Source organism: Homo sapiens, chromosome 6 (assembly GCF_000001405.40).
Source record: "Homo sapiens chromosome 6, GRCh38.p14 Primary Assembly".
NCBI classification, from domain to species: Eukaryota; Metazoa; Chordata; class Mammalia; order Primates; family Hominidae; genus Homo; species Homo sapiens.
The window spans coordinates 140,353,980-140,375,486 of record NC_000006.12 but is presented as its reverse complement, the minus strand read 5'-3'; the positions used below and the strand labels follow the sequence as shown (position 1 = coordinate 140,375,486).

General features: G+C 38.7%; 1 annotated feature.

Moving 5' to 3' along the window:
• Positions 424–1,265: an enhancer, noted in NCBI's record as "H3K27ac hESC enhancer chr6:140695359-140696200 (GRCh37/hg19 assembly coordinates)". NCBI's record gives its function as "activates a minimal SCP1, AML or CMV promoter by ChIP-STARR-seq in naive H9 embryonic stem cells {active_cell/tissue: H9 hESC(naive)}" and the evidence as "EXISTENCE:reporter gene assay evidence [ECO:0000049][PMID:30033119]".

Here is a 21,507-nt window from a genome sequence, read left to right as displayed (position 1 = left end):
TTTTGCGTGGGTAAATTGCGTGTTGTTGGGGCTTGGTTGCAAATGATCCTGTTACCAAGGTAGTGAGCACAGTACCTGGATAGGTACACTTCCAACCCAGGTAGTGAGCAAGTACCTGGACAGGTATCCTTCCAACCCAGGTAGTGAGCACAGTACCTGGATAGGTATCCTTCCAACCCACACCCCTTTCCCAAATCCCCTCCCCACCACATCTGTCAAGAAATACTTTGTTGACTGTCGCACAACCTCTGCTAGCTCCCTACCAAAAATAAAAAAGATCTAGAGAGAGCAAGAGGCAGAGCTGTGCTATTAGCTGTACTATGTAACTTTTTTTCTAAGTTTTGCGTTCAGAGGGGCGTTGAATAGATAAATACTATCTCCACATGTGTGAGAACTTTCATGTGAAAAGACACACCATTTCCCCACATTTTCAATACTAGCTCCCCCTGACTTCCAGGAATTAAAAGGCAATTCTATGATGAATCAGGCCATGTTTTCTTTTCTGTACTATCCTGTCTGCACATTTATGTACTTATTCTACACAACTCAATCACAAAATCAGGCCCTTCACAAATGAAGCCGAAATGTATATTGAAGAATTTAATGCTATATTTTTACAGGTAGAAAAAAATTCTTGCTCTCCCTCTCCCTCTCCCCACGGTCTCCCTCTCCTTCTCCCTCTCCCTCTCCCCACGGTCTCCCTCTCCCTCTCCCTCTCCCCACGGTCTCCCTCTCCCTCTCCCCACGGTCTCCCTCTCCCTCTCCCCACGGTCTCCCTCTCCCTCTCCCCACGGTCTCCCTCTCCCCACGGTCTCCCTCTCCCTCTCTCTCCACGGTCTCCCTCTGATGCCGAGCCGAAGCTGGACTGTACTGCCACCATCTCAGCTCACTGCAACCTCCCTGCCTGATTCTCCTGCCTCAGCCTGCCGAGTGCCTGGGATTGCAGGCGCGCGCCGCCACGCCTGACTGGTTTTCATATTTTTTTGGTGGAGACGGGGTTTTGCTGTGTTGGCTGGGCTGGTCTCCAGCTCCTAACCGCGAGTGATCTGCCAGCCTCGGCCTCCAGAGGTGCCGGGATTGCAGACGGAGTCTCATTCACTCAGTGCTCAATGTTGCCCAGGCTGGAGTACAGTGGCGTGATCATGGCTCGCTACAACCTCCACCTCCTAGCCGCCTGCCTTGAACTCCCAAAGTGCCGAGATTGCAGCCTCTGCCCAGCCGCCACCCCGTCTGGGAACTGAGGAGCGTCTCTGCCTGGCTGCCCATCGTCTGGGATGTGAGGAGCCCCTCTGCCCAGCCGCCCAGTCTGGGAAGAGGAGCACCTCTTCCCGGCCGCCATCCCGTCTAGGAAGTGAGGAGCGTCTCTGCCCAGCCGCCCATCGTCTGAGATGTGGGGAGCGCCTCTGCCCCACCGCCCCATCTGGGATGTGAGGAGTGCCTCTGCCCGGCCGCGACCCCATCTGGGAGGTGAGGAGCGTCTCTGCCCGCCACCCAGTCTGAGAAGTGAAGAGCCCCTCCACCCGGCAGCCGCCCCGTCTGTGAAGTGAGGAGCCCCTCCACCTGGCAGCCGCCCCATCTGGGAAGTGAGGAGCATCTCCGCCCAGCAGCCGCCCCGTCCGGGAGGGAGGTGGGGGGCAGCCCCCGCCCGGCCAGCCGCCCCATCCGGGAGGTGGGGGGTGCCTCTGCCCGGCCGCCCCATCTGGGAAGTGAGGAGCCCCTCTGCCCAGCAGCCACCCTGTCTGGGAGGTGTACCCAACAGCTCATTGAGAACGGGCCATGATGACGATGGCAGTTTTGTCGAGTAGAAAAGGGTGAAATGTGGGGAAAAGATAGAGAAGTCGGATGGTTGCTGTGTCTGTTTAGAGGGAAGTAGACGTAGGAGACTCCATTTTGTTCTGTGCTAAGAAGAATTCTTCTGTCTTGGGATGCTGTTGATCTATAACCTTACCCCCAACCCCGTGCTCTCTGAAACATGTGCTGTGTACACTCAGGGTTAAATGGATTAAGGGCAGTGCAAGATGTGCTTTGTTAAACAGATGCTTGAAGGCAGCTTGCTCCTTAAGAGTCATCACCACTCCCTAATCTCAAGTACCCAGGGACACAAACACTGCAGAAGGCTGCAGGGTCCTCTGCCTAGGAAAACCAGAGACCCTTGTTGACTTGTTTATCTGCTGACCTTCCCTCCACTATTGTCCTATGACCCTGCCAAATCCCCCTCTCCGAGAAACACCCAAGAATGATCAATAAATACTAAAAAAAAAAAAAAAAGAAAAAAATTCTTGAAGAACGTGGGTATATCTGAAAGAGCCACATGTTCTAGTAATAAAAATAAGATTCTCTATGAGATTCTCAAACATCAAGAAATGTATCCTACTACATCTCAAATAAATTGATTACATTGAAGTCATAAATTAAAAGAAAAAGATTATTTTGACTAAAGGAAATGAAGTCATTACATTGAAGAACTTCCAGCCATAAAAAATGAATTAGTAGAGGCCCCCAAGCTGAAGAACTTTGAATCTCTAGATATATGGTGAAATTGAATAACACTCAGTTAATTTGTTTACTGCACTAAAACATTTGCATGGGTCTTATATAGGAAAATGAAAGTGACCAGCAGGTTCATTATATTTTTTGAGTCAATAATTAATGTTTAGAATAAGAAGAATAATCTATATCATAATAATTACTTTTCATTTCTATTCATTCTCTGTGCAAAATATGCAAATATATGTTTCATCTTGTTTTATGCTGTGAATAGTGTGAATCTATGAAAACCAAGTCAGAAGAGAAAAAGCTTTACCTTAAGTCCTCTACAACGATGATGTCTAGTAGACATTTATGACTTTTTAATCTTAAAATTTCTGATCAGCAAACAAATGGTTTTCTTACCTACTGAATGGTTTCTTTATAAAACATTACTATAATTGTTTCTGCAAATGTGTGCATGTATAGAAGAGATGTAGGAGGGAGGTGTGTGGTAATTTTACCATTTGCTTGCTTCCTGGTGTGCTGATTGGACCAGCGGATGTAGGTATCAAGTAAAAATTGAACACATCTTTTGCACAATTATAGGGATGAGTGGGTAACAGAACCTCTGATCCTCCCTCTACCACATGAAGTTTGACCACAAAGTTTGGAGTCGCATCATCACTCCTGTTGGAAGTATGTATGCCAATGTCACAGACTGAAAACAAGGCAGCATTGAATATGGTGCTCCTGCAGGGTGTCTTCCTGTTTCTCAGTGTGATTTCTTCTTCTTTCTTCTCTAGCCGGATATTAGCCCCAAGAAAGTCACCAGTTTCTTTCCCACAACAAACAAAAACACTTGATGTTGAGAGGTTTAAATAATCACGTCAGGATGGATAAACAAATTCTCTAAATGTATGCATTTTTAGAAACAGCTTTAATTTCTTTCACAGGAAGAGTAAACTTTTGAGGGGTAAATGTGTGCCATAGGTAATATATTTCAGTCTATCTTAAGAATCATAGTCACTGCAACTTTTGGAACCACAAAAAAAATTGAACTGATTCATTTACTAAAATGCCTTTTCCTACCTTTATGCTTAACCTACTTTTATATTTATTGTAATATACTTTAAATAGCAGGAAATTGTTATGATAATACAGAGCTGCTTTTTAAATGACATTTTAAAAAGTTTAGACAACCCCATCATTTTACAAAGGTGTTGCTTGTGTGAAAGACAAACCCACCACCATCAGATCAGAATGGTTTATGTAACTCAGATCATTTCACTGTGAAAAAAAAAAAAACTCTTCTGAAATACAGTAAAGTCGTAAATACATGACTAAGCTATTTCCTAAAAGTAGAAGTGGTGGCTTCAATTAAATTATCAGAGAAGCAGTAAGTCAGAATATTCTTAGAGTTCACACACATCATATGATCTATGTGAAGGAAGATTTTAAAAATAGAAATTTGGCTCACGAGAGCCAAACTGTTCCCATAGCATTCACTTATCAGTATAGTATTAAGGGGGAAAAATTACCTCCACCCTCTCATATTTTATGTCATGTGTGTGCACATGTGCACATATGCTTGCATGCATGCAAATTTGTTATTTGTGAATTTAGAGAATTTGCAGAAGTGTGTACATTTAGAAAATTCACAGAAATGTGTGAACTTATCTTTATGTGTGTTTACCTTGTATATTTGACTTCAGTTTGCACTGATCAAAGATAAACAGTTACCAATAAATTTCATGGAGATATTTTCTTTGATGAGAGCTGCAAAATTACATTAAAGAGCAATGACCATCTTTTCCATTCAGTCTACTGAGCAGAACCCTTTGCAAATGATTGAAGTATCCATGCCTCATATGCTGAAGCATCTGAAACTGTGCCTATTTTTGGCATGGTATTTTACTGTAACATTTACAGGATTGCAGTGCATTAACTATTAGACAAATTAGCATGGTCTTATTTTCAGATATATGGATGGAATCCTTTTTATGTGTAAAAGTAGAATGGGATTAATTCATTTTCAAATTAATGAAATATAATCCAGGTAGAATTTGGATCCTTAGATATTATATGCCCATTAAAAACAGGAAAGATGATTCTTCTGAATAATGGCAGTAGATATTACATAATTCATAGATAAATCCATTAAATTAAAAAAATCAGTTAACCATTTTAACCGTTTTCACTGTTCAGTTTTGCATGTATGCTTATTTTAATAATTAATTTGATTCATTCAAGTGCACATTCAGTGTGACTTTTTTGGAATTAAAACCACACATTTTTTTTTTCTCACAGTATACATTTCAAGAAATCACATCATTGTAACTATATCAAACACTTCAGGAAGGAATGTTGGGATGATTTTGCTCTCTGGAAGGAATAGAATGTCAAGAATACTACAACTTTTCCTGTGAACTTAGAGACAGATCAAAATATATTCCTGGGATACAGCAAAACCATTAATGTAGCTTTTTGAAAACAAAATATATGCACATTTGCATGGCAGTTATCATAGAGGACCATTTGGAAATTGTCTCTGAAATGAGCTTTAGATTTCATCCTATTAGTGCAGCATTTGTTTTCAACACATTCTATGGGCATTCATCAGCAAAGGGACATCTTACAATACAATAATTTATTTATAAAACCCCTAAAATAGAATTTGCACATAAGAAATTTCTAAAGGAGGAATGAAAACTGTGAAACACTGGATTTCAATTTAACTTTATTAGAAAATGTCTCACTTTTCTTGATTATAATATATATCACTTTTTTTTTATTATACTTTAAGTTTTAGGGTACATGTGCACAATGTGCAGGTTAGTTATATATGTATACATGTGCCATGCTGGTGTGCTGCACCCATTAACTCATCATTTAGCATTAGGTATATCTCCTAATGCTATCCCTCCCCCCCTCCCCCCACCCCACAACAGTCCCCAGAGTGTGATGTTCCCCTTCCTGTGTCCATGTGTTCTCATTGTTCAATTCCCACCTATGAGTGAGAACATGCGGTGTTTGGTTTTTTGTCCTTGCGACAGTTTACTGAGAATGATGATTTCCAATTTCATCCATGTCCCTACAAAGGACATGAACTCATCATTTTTTATGGCTGCATAGTATTCCATGGTGTATATATGCCACATTTTCTTAATCCAGTCTATCATTGTTGGACATTTGGGTTGGTTCCAAGTCTTTGCTATTGTGAATAGTGCCGCAATAAACATACGTGTGCATGTGTCTTTATAGCAGCATGATTTCTAGTCCTTTGGGTATATACCCAGTAATGGGATGGCTGGGTCAAATGGTATTTCTAGCTCTAGATCCCTGAGGAATCGCCACACTGATTTCCACAAGGGTTGAACTAGTTTACAGTCCCACCAACAGTGTAAAAGTGTTCCTATTTCTCCACATCCTCTCCAGCACCTGTTGTTTCCTGACTTTTTAATGATTGCCATTCTAACTGGTGTGAGACGGTATCTAATTGTGGTTTTGATTTGCATTTCTCTGATGGCCAGTGATGATGAGCATTTTTTCATGTGTGTTTTGGCTGCACAAATGTCTTCTTTTGAGAAGTGTCTGTTCATATCTTTGCCCACTTTTTGATGGGGTTGTTTGTTTTTTTCTTGTAAATTTGTTTGAGTTCATTGTAGATTCTGGATATTAGCCCTTTGTCAGATGAGTAGGTTGCGAAAATTTTCTCCCATTTTGTAGGTTGCCTGTTCACTCTGATGGTAGTTTCTTTTGCTGTGCAGAAGCTCTTGAGTTTAATTAGATCCCATTTGTCAATTTTGGCTTTTGTTGCCATTGCTTTTGGTGTTTTAGACATGAAGTCCTTGCCCATACCTATGTCCTGAATGGTAATGCCTATTATAATATATATCACTTTTTTAAAAGACATGTATAGAACTGTCTTTCTAGAAAATATTATGAAGTTTCATATAACCATACATAGCTTAAACATGCCAAAGTTAACACTGCTAAAAGATAAACATAGGTACATTAAAATTCTAGAGTTCATTTGAGCAGACATAGATTCACGAATTGGGCAATACCAGAAAGCAAGTGGTTGGGGCTTCACCAAGGGGAGACGCAGTTTCACTCTTTATTGCCCAGGCTGGAGTGCAGTGGCGCGATCTCAGCTCACTGCAACCTCAGCCTCCTGGGTTCAAACGATTCTCCTGTTCAGCCTCCCAAGTAGCTGGGATTACAGGCACCCACCCCCATGCCTGGCTAATTTTTGTATTTTTAGTAGAGATGGGGTTTCATCATGTTGGCCAGGCTGGTCTCCAACTCCTGACCTCAGGTGATCTGCCTGCCTCAGCCTCCGGAAGTGCTGGGATTACAGGCGTGACCCACCACGCTCGGCCAGGGGAAAACTTTCATACAATGTTTATGGAAGCAAGACAAAGTTTCCAGTAGAGGTTAGTTGGCAGTTTCTGATTGGTAAAGCTTAAGTTTCATTTTTCTAGGATGTTATTTACATTGAATTGAGTTTCAATTTACTCATGTGGGGACCCAGGCTGCTGGAGCCACATTGATCTTATGCCTCCGACACAGTTAATTACATTTTGGTGACAACTTATATGGAAAGTAATCAAAGAATTTTGGGGGGATTAATTTATTTGTTTTTATATATCAGATACTAGTTACAGCACTCAAAGTTTTCAGGTTAGCCTTTAAATATGAAGCTACCTCTATGAGATCAATATTATGCTATGCATGCTCTCACTTTCTATACCTTTACATATCTTCTTTCTCTTTGCAGAATTCTGCCAAGTAATTTTGGATTACACTTTTCTGGAATTAATAAAATGAGACAATGAAGAATCTTCTTTGTGGAGTTGTTTGTTCTTCCTTCGACATTTCCAATAGTTTCTTTTTTTTTTAATTGAGACGGAGTCTTGCTCTGTCACCCAGGCTGGAGTGCAGTGGCACGATCTGGACTCACTGCCTGCAAGCTCCGCCTCCTGGGTTCACGCCATTCTCTTGCCTCAGCCTCCTGAGTAGCTGGGACTACAGGTGCCTGCCACCACGCCCGGCTAATTTTTTTGTATTTTTAGTAGAGATGGGGTTTCACGGTGTTAGCCAGGATGGTCTCCATCTCCCCACCTCGTGATCCGCCCGCCTCGGCCTCCCAAAGTGCTGGGATTATAGGCAGTAGCCACTGCGCCCGGCCTTCAATAGTTTCAAAGTTTAGGATTTACTACCTTATACTTCAATGTGCTAATAAATCTCACTGAAAAACTTTTAGAAATGGATCTTCTTAACTCTGTCATAATTTGTATACAGTAACATGCCACTTAACGACGGGGATGTTCTAAGATATGCATCACTAGGCAATTTTGTGATTGTACTATCATCGAGTATACTTACACAAACCTAGATGGTATAGCCTACTACACTTAGTCAATATATCATAGCCTATTGTCCATATGCTACAAACCTGTACAGCATGTTACTGTACTGCATGCTACAGGCAATTATAAACACAATGGTAAACAATTTATTGATCTAAAAATATATAAATGTAGAAAAGGTACAGTAAAAATAGGTATTATAATTTTATTGGACCACTGTCTTCTATGTGTGGTTCATCATTGGCTGAAACATCATTATGTTGTGCACAGCTGTATTTAAACAGAACAAATTATTTATAATGCTGATGGTAGGATGTTGTTTTATAATAGTGGATTTCACTGGTTTTTGACTTTGGTTCCTGGAAGGGGCTTTTTGTCTTTGTTATTACTAAGCCCTTGGGTCACAGGTGAGTTTATACTAATGAAGTGACTCATAGTAGGCCTCTAAGATAGCTTCAGGCTGTGGTTGGTCACCAGAAAAACAAACCACATGATTAGATCTCTGGAATTTTGAGCCAGCCCAACCTCTGGGGGAATAGGGAGGTAGAGAGAGAGTTCAATCACAAGGCCAGTGATTTAATCAATTATGCCTGTGTAATGGAATCTCAATTAAAAGTCTAAACACTCCAAAACTCAGAGGAAATTCTGGGTTGCTGAATATATTAATGTTCCAGGAAGGTGACATGCCCTGATTTATAGGGGAAGGTACTGAAGCTCTATGTCAGGACCCCTCCAGACCTTACATTATGTGTCTTTTCTTTTGGCTGTTCCTAATTTTTATACGTTTTAAGAAAAATATAATCATGTAATCATTGTAAGCAATTTGCAAAGTTCTCTTAGCCATTTTAGCAAATAACCAAACCTGAGGGTGGTTCTACGAACCCCTGGATTTGTACTCTGATGATCAGAAGTGGAGTTGGGGACCCCACCTCTGGCTGGCATCTAAAGTGAGAGCAGTCTCCTTGGGAACCATGCACACCAACCCTAGGTAGTTAGTGTCAGAACTGAATTGCATACATCAATATATGAATATATATTAATAAGCACATCAATAAATCTAAAAGATGTATATGAAGGTAAACTTTAAGTATTTTGGGACACAAAAGAAAGTAGAAAAAAAGAAAAGACATACCAGTGGTTTTAGATAAGATAATTCACCAACTTGAAATGTTGAACATAACTGTGTATAATTATTATATGATTTCAATAAAAAATAACAGCAGAATTTTTAAGAAAAAGACAAGCTGATATTGCATTTTATATTAAGAAATCAAACATAATATCAAATGAAATTATAATAAAGAAAAGAAATAAAAGGAACTAGTTTCATCAAATAGTAAGTCATATGAACCTATTAAAATAATAGTGATTATGACTGTATTCCATATATTTAAGAAGGATAAAGAAAAAATGACCGAATTAAGAAGAGACATAGAAGATGTTTTAAAATACCCAAATAAGACTCCTAGATGTGAAAATACAATGTTTCAAGTTAAAAACAAATAAACAAAAACCTCTACATAAGATTCATAGTGTAATAGATAGTGCAGAAGAAAATATCAATAAACTTGAAAACATAGCAGCAGAAATTATTGAAAAGGAAACAGAAAGAAAAAGATGGGAATAAACAAACTTATAAATTAAATGAACTTTTTTAGCAGCCTAATGTATGTGTAATTAGTGTACATGAAGAAGAGAGTGAGTAGGGGAATAGAAAAATATCTGAAGAAATAATGGTAAAAAGCCCAAATTTGATTCTTAAAAAATCTAAAACATAATTCCATGGGTGCAAAAAGTTCAGTAAAGTCCAAGCATGAGAAATATAAAGAAAATCAGAGCAAGGCACAATACAATCATGAACTAGAAGACTCAATATTGCTAAGATGTCACTTAGCCAAAATACTGATCTACATATTCAATACAATTCCAATAAATATACCAGCTAGATTTTTTGAAATTAATAAACAGTTCTAAAATTAGATGGAAAGGCAAAGGAGGTAGAATAGCTAAAATGGCTGTGAAAAAGAATAACAGAGTTTGACGACTTAAACCTGATTTCAAAAGTTACTATTAACCACAGTAACAACACTGTGTGGTAATGGCAAAAAGATAGACAATCAAACAGAACACAGATTCTAGAGGTAGACGCACACATATATAGTCACCATTTTTGACACAATTGCTAAGACAATTCAATGGCAAAAACAGACTTTTCATCAAATGATGGAACAATTTAATATTCATATGCAAATAAATGAATTGTCTACATTCCTTATACCACACACAAAAATTAATTCAAAATTGACCTTGAACCTAAAAACAATAAAATTAAAAACTGAAAACTATGAAATGTATAAGAAAAACAAACAAGAAAATATTTATAAACTTTGTGTTAGTCCATTTTCATGCTACTGATAAAGACATGCCCATGACTGGGCAAGTTACAAAAGAGAGATTTAATGGACTTACAGTTCCACCTGGCTGGGGAGGTCTCACAAGCATGGTGGAAAGCAAGGAGGAGCAAGTCACATCTTACATGGATGGCAGCAAGCAAAGAGAGACATTGGAGAGGGAAACTCACATTTTTAAAACCAGCAAATCTTGTGAGACTTATTTACTATCATGAGAACAGCACAGGAAAGACCCACCCTCATGATTCAATTACCTCCCACTGGGTCCCTCCAATAACACATAGGAATTCAAGATGAGATTTGGGTGGCAACACAGTCAAACCATGTCATTCCACCCCCAGCCCTCCCAAATCTCACATCCTTACATTTTGAAGCCAATCACGCCTTCCCAGCAGTCCCCCAAAGTCTTAATTCATTTCAGCATTAACTGAAAAGTCCACAGTCCCAAGTCTCATCTGAGACAAGGCAAGTGCCTTCTGCCTAGGAGCATGTAAAATTAAAAGTAAGTTGGTTAATTCCTAGATACAATGGGGGTACAGGCATTGGGTAAATACGGCCATTAAAAATGGAAGAAATTAGCTAAAACAAAGGGGCTACAGACCCCATGCAAGTCTGAAATCCAGCAGGCAGTCAACTCTTAAAGCTCCAAAATGAACTCCTTTGACTCCATGTCTCACATCTAGGTCATGCTGATACAAGAGGTGAGTTCCTATGGTCTTGGTAGCTCCACCCCTGTGACTTTGCAGGGTACAGCCTCCCTCCTGGCTACTTTCATGGGCTGATGTTGAATGTCTGTGGCTTTTCCCAGGCACATGGTGCAAGCTGTTGGTGGATCTACCAGTCTGGGATCTGGAGGACAAGGACACTTTTCTCACAGCTCCACTAGGCAGTGCCCCATTAGGGACTCTGTGTTGGGGCTCCCATCCCACACTTCCCTTTCGCACTGCCTTAGCAAAGGTTCTCCATGAGGGCCCCACCCCTACAGTAAACTTCTGCCTGGGCATCCAGGCATTTCCATACATCTTCTGAAATCTAGGCAGAGGTTCCCAAACCTCAATTCTTGATATCTGTGCACTCGCAGCCTCAGTACCACACGAAAGCTGCTTGAGCCTTGCCCCATCTGAAGCCATGGCCTGAGCTCTACACTGGCCCCTTTCAGCCATGGCTGCAGCAGCAGGGATGCAGTGCACCAAGTCTCTAGGCTGCACACAGCACGAGGACCTTAGGCCAGGCCCGCAAAATCACGTTTTCCTCCTAGGCCTCCAGGCCTATGATGGGAGGGACTGCCACAAAGGTCTCTGACATGCCCTGGAGACATTTTCCCCATTGTCTTCGGTGATTAACATTCAGCTCCTTGTTACTTACGCAAATGTCTGCAGCTGGCTTGAATTTCTCCTCAGAAAATGGGATTTTCTTTTCTATTGCATTGTTAGGCTGCAAATTTTCCAAACTTTTATGCACTAGTTTTGTTTTGAAACTGAATGCCTTTAACAGCACCCAAGTCACTTCAAATTTTTTGAAGTGAATGTTTTGCTGCTTAGAAATTTTTTCCATCAAATACCCTACATCATCTTTCTCAAGTTCAAAGTTTTCCACAAATCTCTAGGGAAGGGGTAAAATGCCACCAGTCCCTTTGCTAAAACATAACAAGAGTCACCTTTGCTTTAGTTCCCAACAAGTTCCTCATATCCATCTGAGACCACCTCAGCCTGGATTTTATTGTCCATATCATTATCAGCATTTTGGTCAAAGCTATTCAACAAGTCTCTAGAGAGTTCCAGACTTTCCCACATTTCCTTGTCTTCTTCTGAGCCCTCCAAACTGTTCCAACTCTTTGGAACTGTTACCCAGTTCCAAAGTCACTTCCTTATTTTGGGGTATCTTTTCAACAACACCCCCCCCCCCCACTCTACTGGTACCAAGTTTCTGTATTACTCTGTTTTCATGCCGCTGATAAAGACATACCTGAGACTGGGCAATTTACAAAAGAAAGAGAGATTTAATGGACTTACAGTTCCATGTGGCTGGGGAGGCCTCACAGTCATGGCAGAAGGCAAGGAGGAGCAAGTCATGTTTTACGTGGATGGCAGCAGGCAAAGAGAGAGCCTGTGTAGAGAAACTCCTGTTTTTAAAACCAGCAGGTGTAACCTCCCACCAGGTCCCTCCCACAATATATGGGAATTTAAGATGAGATTTGGGTGGGGACACAGCCAAACTATATCAACCATGATTTAGACAAAAATGATTGAGATACAAACCCAAAAACATGATTTATACAAGAACAAACAGAATAAATGATCTTTGTTAAAAACTAAGTACCTCTGTTCTTTGAAAGACATTGGTAAGTAAGAGAATTAACAGGCAATCCACACACTGGAAAACATATTTTCAAATGAGACAGATAAAAGTTCTATATCCAGGATATATACATATATGTGTGTGTATATATATATATATATATATATATATATATATATATATATATATACACCTCTCAAAACTCAATTGTTTAAAAAATCCAATTTAAAAATGGGTAAAAAATTTATAGACACTTCACCAATGAACAGTACATAAAAATGGCAAATATGCACATAAAGGTGCTCCACATTTTACTTCATTAGGCTAATACAAATTAAAACCACAACCAGATAATACCACCCAACTGTTAGAATGGCTAAAATCAAAGAAACATCAGTAATAAATACTGAGTAGGATAAGAAACACATTCCTGGTGGCTATGAAAAATTATAGTTACTTTGGAAAATATTTTGGCAGCTTCTTATAAAATTAAGCATATGCTTACCTTACAACTCAACAATCTGACCCCTAGGTATTACCCAAGTGCACTAAAAAACCTGAATGCAGTTGTTTACAGTGGCTTTAATTGTAATTGTCAAAGCTGGAAACAGCCCAAATATCCCTCAACTGGCAAATGGATGAAGTGTGGTACAGTCAAAGAATAAATACTACTCAACAATGAAACAGAAATGAACAGGTGATTCACACAGCAACATCATGGATAAGTCTCAAATGCATCATTCCAAGTGAAAGAAGCCAGTCTCTGAAAAACACATTCTCTATGATTATTTTAAGATGATATTCTAAAAAAGGCCAATAGAAATTTAGACATATTAACTATGGTTCTAGACACATGCTTTTATAAGGGAAAATCAATGTAATAAAAATAAAAACAAATAACAGTAACGACGGTAAGAAAAATACCACATTAGGTTTACGTAATATTGTATGGCTTTCAAAGTTATTTATTCCTCACACCTCTGGGAATTTGGGTATATCTGAATCATTGTGCTTTAACAGGATTCTGCTATAATTCAACAAAGTTGCCTCCAGAGCTTCATTTTCATGGTATATCCCTGCAATCCATCATTTAAGAGAATCTCATACCATCAACAATGGTTTATAGCAATATCAACAACAAAGATAAAGCTAATTGATATTATCAAGCATCTTATTCTCTCACTGTTTGCAAAAACAATGAAGGGAAAATACTTATGCATTAAGAACAAAATTTATCTTTGCATTGACTGAAATGCAAGAAGTCACATACACACTGCACTAAATTTAGTAATACTATCCTAAGCAAGTATTCAAACTTAGGAAATAATGCAGTGACTAAAGCTAGGTGGAAAATAAAGAACCATATTTTTTAAAAGTCTATACATATGAGCTAACCTCTGACTGACCTATTCCCTCAAGCCATATGCATTGCAATATATCTTCACTATGTCAGATTTTCAATATCACATGGGTTATTAGAATTTGTGTCTACAGCAACCCCAATGTTTGAGACCATACTGAAAGAAATATTTTAAGGACAGAGTGAAGAGAGGTCTTTATGGTTATAACCAGCCTGTTTTCAGCTATTCTGAGCTATTTTGGCTGTAAGATTTTAACCTTGCCTTGATTTCTTATTTTATCTATACATTTGAAATACGGTTTTCACACACACACACACACACACACACACACACACACACACACACACACACAAATCAGAAATATATTTGCATATGTCTTGCATTTTCAAATAGATTTCACAAATGGATTTCTAGCAGAAGTTTGAAAAATACATGAATATATAAATAAACATGAATATAAATAACACTGGCACTCTGGTACATTTATGTTGAATGTGTTTACATCTATTTTTTTCATAGGCATCTATCAGATTTCCATGATGATGTTGTTTTAAGGATAAAAGGAAGCAAATATGTTCTGGCAATGCAATTAAACCACCAAACACGAAGATACCTAAACATATCAATTGGCAACATAGCATTACCACGAGGTAACTGTTCCAACATCTGCAGCTCTGAAGTTAATCATGATTCTAGCAACAGCCTCCTCCTAATGTGCTGCATGAGAGAAGTACTAATTAATCATTAAGTGGCCTTACATCATAAAGGGCTTCTGCTTCTGTTTCAAATCAACTGGAGTGGTGCAGAGCAGCAGTGGCAGTAGCAACAGCACCAACTCCAAACATTAAACGTAATGGGGAAAGTGTGGATTACTGAAACTGAGAGAACCACAGTTTGGAACTGATACTTGAATTGTTTAAGAAGTAAGCACCCAACCTCACTTTACTGATTGACAGGCTGTATGGGCTACTTGCCAGGAGTGTTTCCTAATTTGCACTAACAGGAGCTAAATTTTCCTTGATTGTGGAGGTGTGAGCTCTTAAGACTTTCCTCCTTTTATCATGATTGAATATGATATGCTAAGATCAGTACTTTCTGGCAGGTTTGTCTTTAAAATTGAGGGCATAACCCAGTATTTGAGAGGTTACATTTGATCACTCCACACAATATATACCCTCAGAAATAGTAACTAAAGTAAGCAGACTATCATGATGATAATGTATTCCCCTCACTAATATTCTCACTCACTTATTTTATGCTCCCATTATTAGAGATTTGGAAAATATATAATAGATCACAGATGAAAATAAGTATTTTGGCCTAGTGCGGTGGCTCATTACTATAATCTCAGCACTATGGGAGGCCAAGGCAGGCAAATTGCTTGAGCTCAGGAGTTTGAGACCAGCCTGGGCAACATGGCAAAATCCGGTCGCTACAAAAAATGCAAAAAAACTAGTGGTGTGGTGGCACATGCCTGTAGTCCCAGCTACTCAGGAGGCTGAGGTAGGGGGATTGCTGGAGCCTGGGAGGCAGAGGTTGCAGTGAACTGAGATTGTGCCCCTGCACTCCAGCCTGAGTGACAGAGCCAGACACTGTCTCAAAAGAATTGCATTTGTAATAGCTACCAATCAAAGAAACTCAGTGTTAAAATCTCTCTCTCTCTCATATATATATACACACACACACATACACATATATATATATAAATCAGATATATATATATATAAATCAGATATATATATATCACTGATTGCTTAAGGAATCACCGATTGCTTAAGATATATATATCACTGATTGCTTAAGGAACATATATATGTATTCACACACATACTTAGATGGGTTTCTTCATCTCACAGAAATATCCAACCTTTCCATGTGGGTGAACTAGGACACAGACAAACTTAGTGATTTCCCCATGGACGTATGATTATTACATGGCAGAACCTGGATTTTAAATCCCACAGGCATATGTTGCTATAGACTTTTTCATTCAAACGCACATCTATATGCAATGGATATTCCAAGCAATGCCAAGGCCAACACGGCCAGAAATATAACATTCCCCAGCTTTCTTCTATCCAAGTATTCCCAGGACTCCTGTGTCTGCATAAAGTGATCCATTAAATTAGACCTTTTTGATGTTCCCTGCTTCTATTTGCTGGACGAGAGCAAGAACTCAGGTTTGTTTCTTTGCCACCGTTGACTGCTAGGTAGCTCTCCCTACTTCACCTGGTTTCTGTCATCAATGTCCTTGGTTACTCTTTAAGTGGGCCCATGGTTTTGCCCTTGAAAATTCTGAGATCAGCCATAACACCAATTGCTAAAGGAATTGCTGGAGAACCTGAGGAAACCCAAGCCACCTGACAGTTCTGTGCAAGACCTTCCCTGTGCAGCTCCATGTAGTTTCTTGGGAAGTAAGAGAAGATACTCATTTCTTCAGGGTGAAGCTCACTCAACTTATGCTCCTTGCCAAAGTCACCAGTTCCACCTTCCCTTTTTTTAGCAATGGGATGCACATGGAGACCACCACTGTCTTTTCCAGAAGCTCCTCAATCTGGGTTGCCTTAGTTCATCAGTAATAGTGTTGAACATCAAAGAATAAGTGGTCAGGATCCTGCCTTGCTCATTCCGTGAGAAGATCCTTGTACCTTAAGAAAGCAGAGATACGGGAAGAGCAAGGTGGCTCACGCCTGTAATCCCAGCCCTTTGGGAGGCTGAGGTGGACGGATCACATAAGGTCAGGAGTTTGAGACAAGCCTGGCTAACACAGTGAAACCCCATCTCTACTAAAAGACAAAAAATAGCTGGGTGTGGTGGAATGCACCTGTAGTTCCAGCTACTCGGGAGGCTGAGGCAGGGGAATCACTCGAACCCAGGAGGTGGAGGTTGCAGTGAGCCAAGATAGTGCCACTGCACTCCAGCCTGGGTAACAGAGAGAGATCCTTCCCCCCAAAAAAAAGAAAAAAATTGCTTCTGTGTTTTTTGTACTCTTTTTATAGTATCTTGCTACAAGCATTCTTCTTGAGGATACTACAACTCTTGCTGCACAGGTTGTAAACTTTGTGAGAGCAGAAATATTTGCAAATAAGATCAGATAAAAATCCTATATCCAGAATATATATAAATAACTCACAAACCTGAAAATTTAAAAAATAAAATTTAAAAATAGGCAAAATATATGAACAGACATGTCACCAAAAAGATATATAGATGTCAAATAAGCACATGAAAAAGTGTTCAATATTATCAGTCATTAGGGAAATGCAAATTAAAACCACTATAATGAGATATCACTATGCCCTATTAAAATAGCTAAAATTAAACAAACTGAGAATTCAAAGTGTTGGGATAAAGTTGAACCACTTAGAACTCTCATGCATTATTTTTGGGAATTCCAAAAGGTTAAAATCACCTTGGAAACAATTTGGAAGTGTCTTAAAAACTTAAACATACACCAACAATCAGTCATAGTTGTTCCATTCTTAGGTATTTCCCCAAGAGAAATGAAGGCATATATCTAATCCTGGCATCTCAACTGTCCCTTCTAAAACTCCAATGAAGCAGGTAAAAGGACCATTCCCCTTCCAGTGTAGTTGGGATCTGCACCTCACCTCCCTTTTGTGACCAATTTTTCCCAGTCAAGGTTATAACTTTTACACAGATGTTTATAAGGGCTTTATCAGTAATGATCACAAACTGGAAACAACCAAAATTCCCATCAAAAGGAAAGTGAATCTACCATCTGTGGTTTATACATATAATAAAATATTACTCGGCAATAGAAAGAAATAAACTACTGATATACCCAATCACATGCATAAATTTCAAAACAAAAGCATTGAGAAAAAGAAGCCAGATAAAAATGCGGTACACATTCTAAGATTCTATTTATTAAAAATTCTAGAAAATGCAATCCAATATATAGTGAAATAATGTTGCTCAGTGGTTTCCTGGAGGAGGATGTGGGAGGGGGCATGGTGAGAGTGAAGGATTAAAAACTGTATGAGGGAAATATGGGGGGATAATGGATATATTCACTATCTTGATTGGGGTGATGCTTTCACACATGTATACATACGTCAGAACCCATAGTATATATAAAAGATATGTGCAGTTTATTGCACTGTATGTATACCTACGCAGATCATTTTTTCATTTAAAAACCATCATTTACTGATTCTTTGGATCCTCCTGCTTTGTCCTTGTTACCCCATGTTACATAGCACTGGTTTAATTTCCTTTTGTTTTATCAATTCTTTCTCTGCTAATGTCTTTTAACAGGCTATAGTATGTTAACGTCAAGTTCATGTAAAGTTCATGAAGATTAAGTTTCAGATATCCCACTTGAATAAATTCTTTACAAAGAATTGCACCTAATTTGAATTTATAATTTTATATTTATTTTATTCATTTGTATTCTCATTATTACACAAGTTTCATACCCTACAAATCCTAGATTGTCTTCTGACTGAATTTCTCTTGGGTATTATAGTAAGCAATTAAATCATTGAGTTAAAGGGAGTATTAATGCTCAATTCTATAAAATAGTGCCAAGTTGTTTTCCAAGGTGATTGTTTCCATTTTAACACCTATCAGTGAGATGAAATTGCACCCGAGATCCCACTGCTCCAGGTCTTTTTCAGCACTCGGTGTTTTCAGGGTTAATTTAAAGTCTGTTTCTGATAATTACTTGGATTTTCTATAGATTCTTTTATATAGTCTGTTGTTTCTTTTCATTTTGAAGAATAAAATTTGGTCTCCTTTTATGCTTTTATTTAAAAGTGATAGACATTGCACATGAAAAAAATCGTAGATAACTTAAGGCTCCACATAGTCTTAAATTTCCTCAGAGAGGATTCACTTTACCTGTTGTAGACAATTAGTTCAGTGTGAGTGTCTTTTCGGTTAGAGCTATCATAACAGAACACCAAAGAATGGGTGGCTTACAAACAACATAAATTTATTTTTTACAGTTCTTGGGGCTGAAAAGTCCAAAATCAAGGAGCTGGCAGATTCAGTGTCTGGTGGGGGCCTGTTTCCTGGTTCACAGACAGCCTGGCCATCTTGATTGAGCTCTTATACAGCAGCAGAAGGGAGAGAACTCTCTGGGAGATCTTCTCATCTTCTGTTGTTTATTTAGGAAAAAACAGATATCTTTACTGGAAAATCTATCCAGATGTTACACCCAACTCTCTGGGTTTTTTTGCTTTTCTCCCGGATATTGATCTGCAATTCTTCATTTTCTTGTTACCTATGTTCTTCAAAAGGACATATGTGTATTTACTTGTTTTTGTCTACTACTGAAGTTGTTCTAAGTTAAGAGTGGTCTGAATTAGCTAGCCTATCAGTATAGAAAGATTAACTCCATTTGGTATTTTTAAAGTAAATTTTTTTTATTGACATATAACATGTACATATACAAGTGTACCAATCATATATAGCCTGATTAATTTTCACAAAGTAAATGCTCTTGTGTAACCAGATCAAAAAATATAATGTTTCCTGCACTTGAGAAATATCCCTCATGCTCCCTGTGTCTCCATCCACCAAGGTAACCACTGTCTTGATTTTTAATACCGTAGATTATTTTTGCCTGTTTTTGAAATTTTTAGCTCAGGGCAAAACATGATTAAGAGAAAGCTTGACACTGTCAAGGTAATGCTCTTTATATCAAGAGAGACAGATACAGAGGCAGAAATGCAGACTAGAAATGATCTGAGAATTATGGTTAGGAAAGTATTGTAGGATTGTTATTAGCACATGGAATGGACTGGAATCATAAATAAAACAAACATTATAACTTTGAAAAAACTGACCTGCCAAACAAAACACAAGTCTGGACTAGAAAGTTCTATATCTGCTCCAGATTTAACCTTCATGCAATAGAAAGTGAATTGGGAAAGCTGCTCAGCTCCCAATTAGGTCATTTCCCCCAATGTTTATTTCAGATGCGGTCAAGGAGGATAACAGAAAAGAAACAATATTCCTGCAGTAGAACCAGCAACCATTAAGAACATAGACAAGTGAGCACAATTAGGTTGCATTTAAGGAACAATCCCTATTCCCAGAGTAACAAGTCCTCACATTACCTAGTTCAATGGGATCTGAAAAATATTAAGTACCATGACTATTTTGTGACACTCATTCTTCCTCTTCCCACATTGTAATGTTTCCTGTGGATCTAGTCCTTGTACTGTCACTTTACAGTGTTCACTACCCAATGGGCAGACAACTCTTTGGGGTTTATTAGTTTCTAGACTTAGAGATGCCACTTCCAAATTTGCTGCAGAAAACAACGCACATCACCCAGATGTCCTTGACTTTGAGCTCAGAATGCCAACTGGGTTGACTTGGGGTTGATGAGAATCCCTTGGAGAGGACGGAGTGTGTTATAAGTTTAGAATGGAGCAAAGGGATATTTAATGACAAGAAGAATGGACTTTTACAGAAACAGTGGTCCTCACCAAAAAATGCCCTCTGATGTCCCAGTTACTTTAGTCCTTTTGGAGTGAGACAGGACCATACACGTAGGGTTGGCCAATGGCATGTAGGTGGGAGTGACATATGTTGCTTCTAAGCTACACTATAGAAGAGCTTGATGTCTTTTCCCTTGCTGAGATGACCCAGAAAACTCTGTTTCCTGTGGTGTAGTTACATAATGATGGAGAAGAAAATTACCTTTATTCACAAAGTTTCCATATCCTGAGAAACTAGCCAATGTAACATGATATAAAGTAGAGGAAGGGATAAAATACACTCATCCATCCTCAGATAGACAGAACTCCCCCTTTCAAGGGTCTGAAATAGAGAAACATCTCATCAAATCACAGCAAGCATCCTGAGATTACTTGGTTTTTCTTCCTATGCTGTACAATATAGTACTTAAATCTTTTCCCTTCAAATGGTCATTGTTTTTTCTAGTTCTAATTATCTGAAAGTTAGAAACATTCAAAAGGATCATAATCAGAATTGTTTTCCCTTTAAACATCTATTTATCTTCTTACTGGTTTTCTTATCTTTTATTATTACCACAATAGAATGTAAGCCCCATAGTACTCACACTGAGAGATAACATAGCATAATAAAGGGAGTAAACTCTATATCCACTCTGATTTGTATCCGGGCTGCATAGCTTCTGCAGACATGGAGGACAACATGAAACTATCTGCTGCCTTAGTTTTATCATCTGTAAAATATGTCTAATATTAATACCTACCTCATAGAGCTATTCTGAGGACAAAATAAGTTAACACAGTTAAATTATTTATAGATCAATGACAGGTACACCTTCAGTGTTTTATAAATGTAGCCGATTCCATTAGAGCTTGGATTGTATTTATTAACATATTGCTTGCTAAGATATTCCCATTTATTTGTAAATGACCTAGCATACGTCACCAGAAAATGGCCCAGAGACAAAAATGAATGCACGTACTTATCACTATAAGAATAAATATCTTTGTCCACAAACTTGAGAATGACTTAAAATATCTGAAGAGTCCTGAAAAACATAAATTTATTCATAGGGACTTTACAGTAACCACCTCAGTAGCCTTTAATAACACACTATAGATCAGCTATTTCAGGATAATTTTC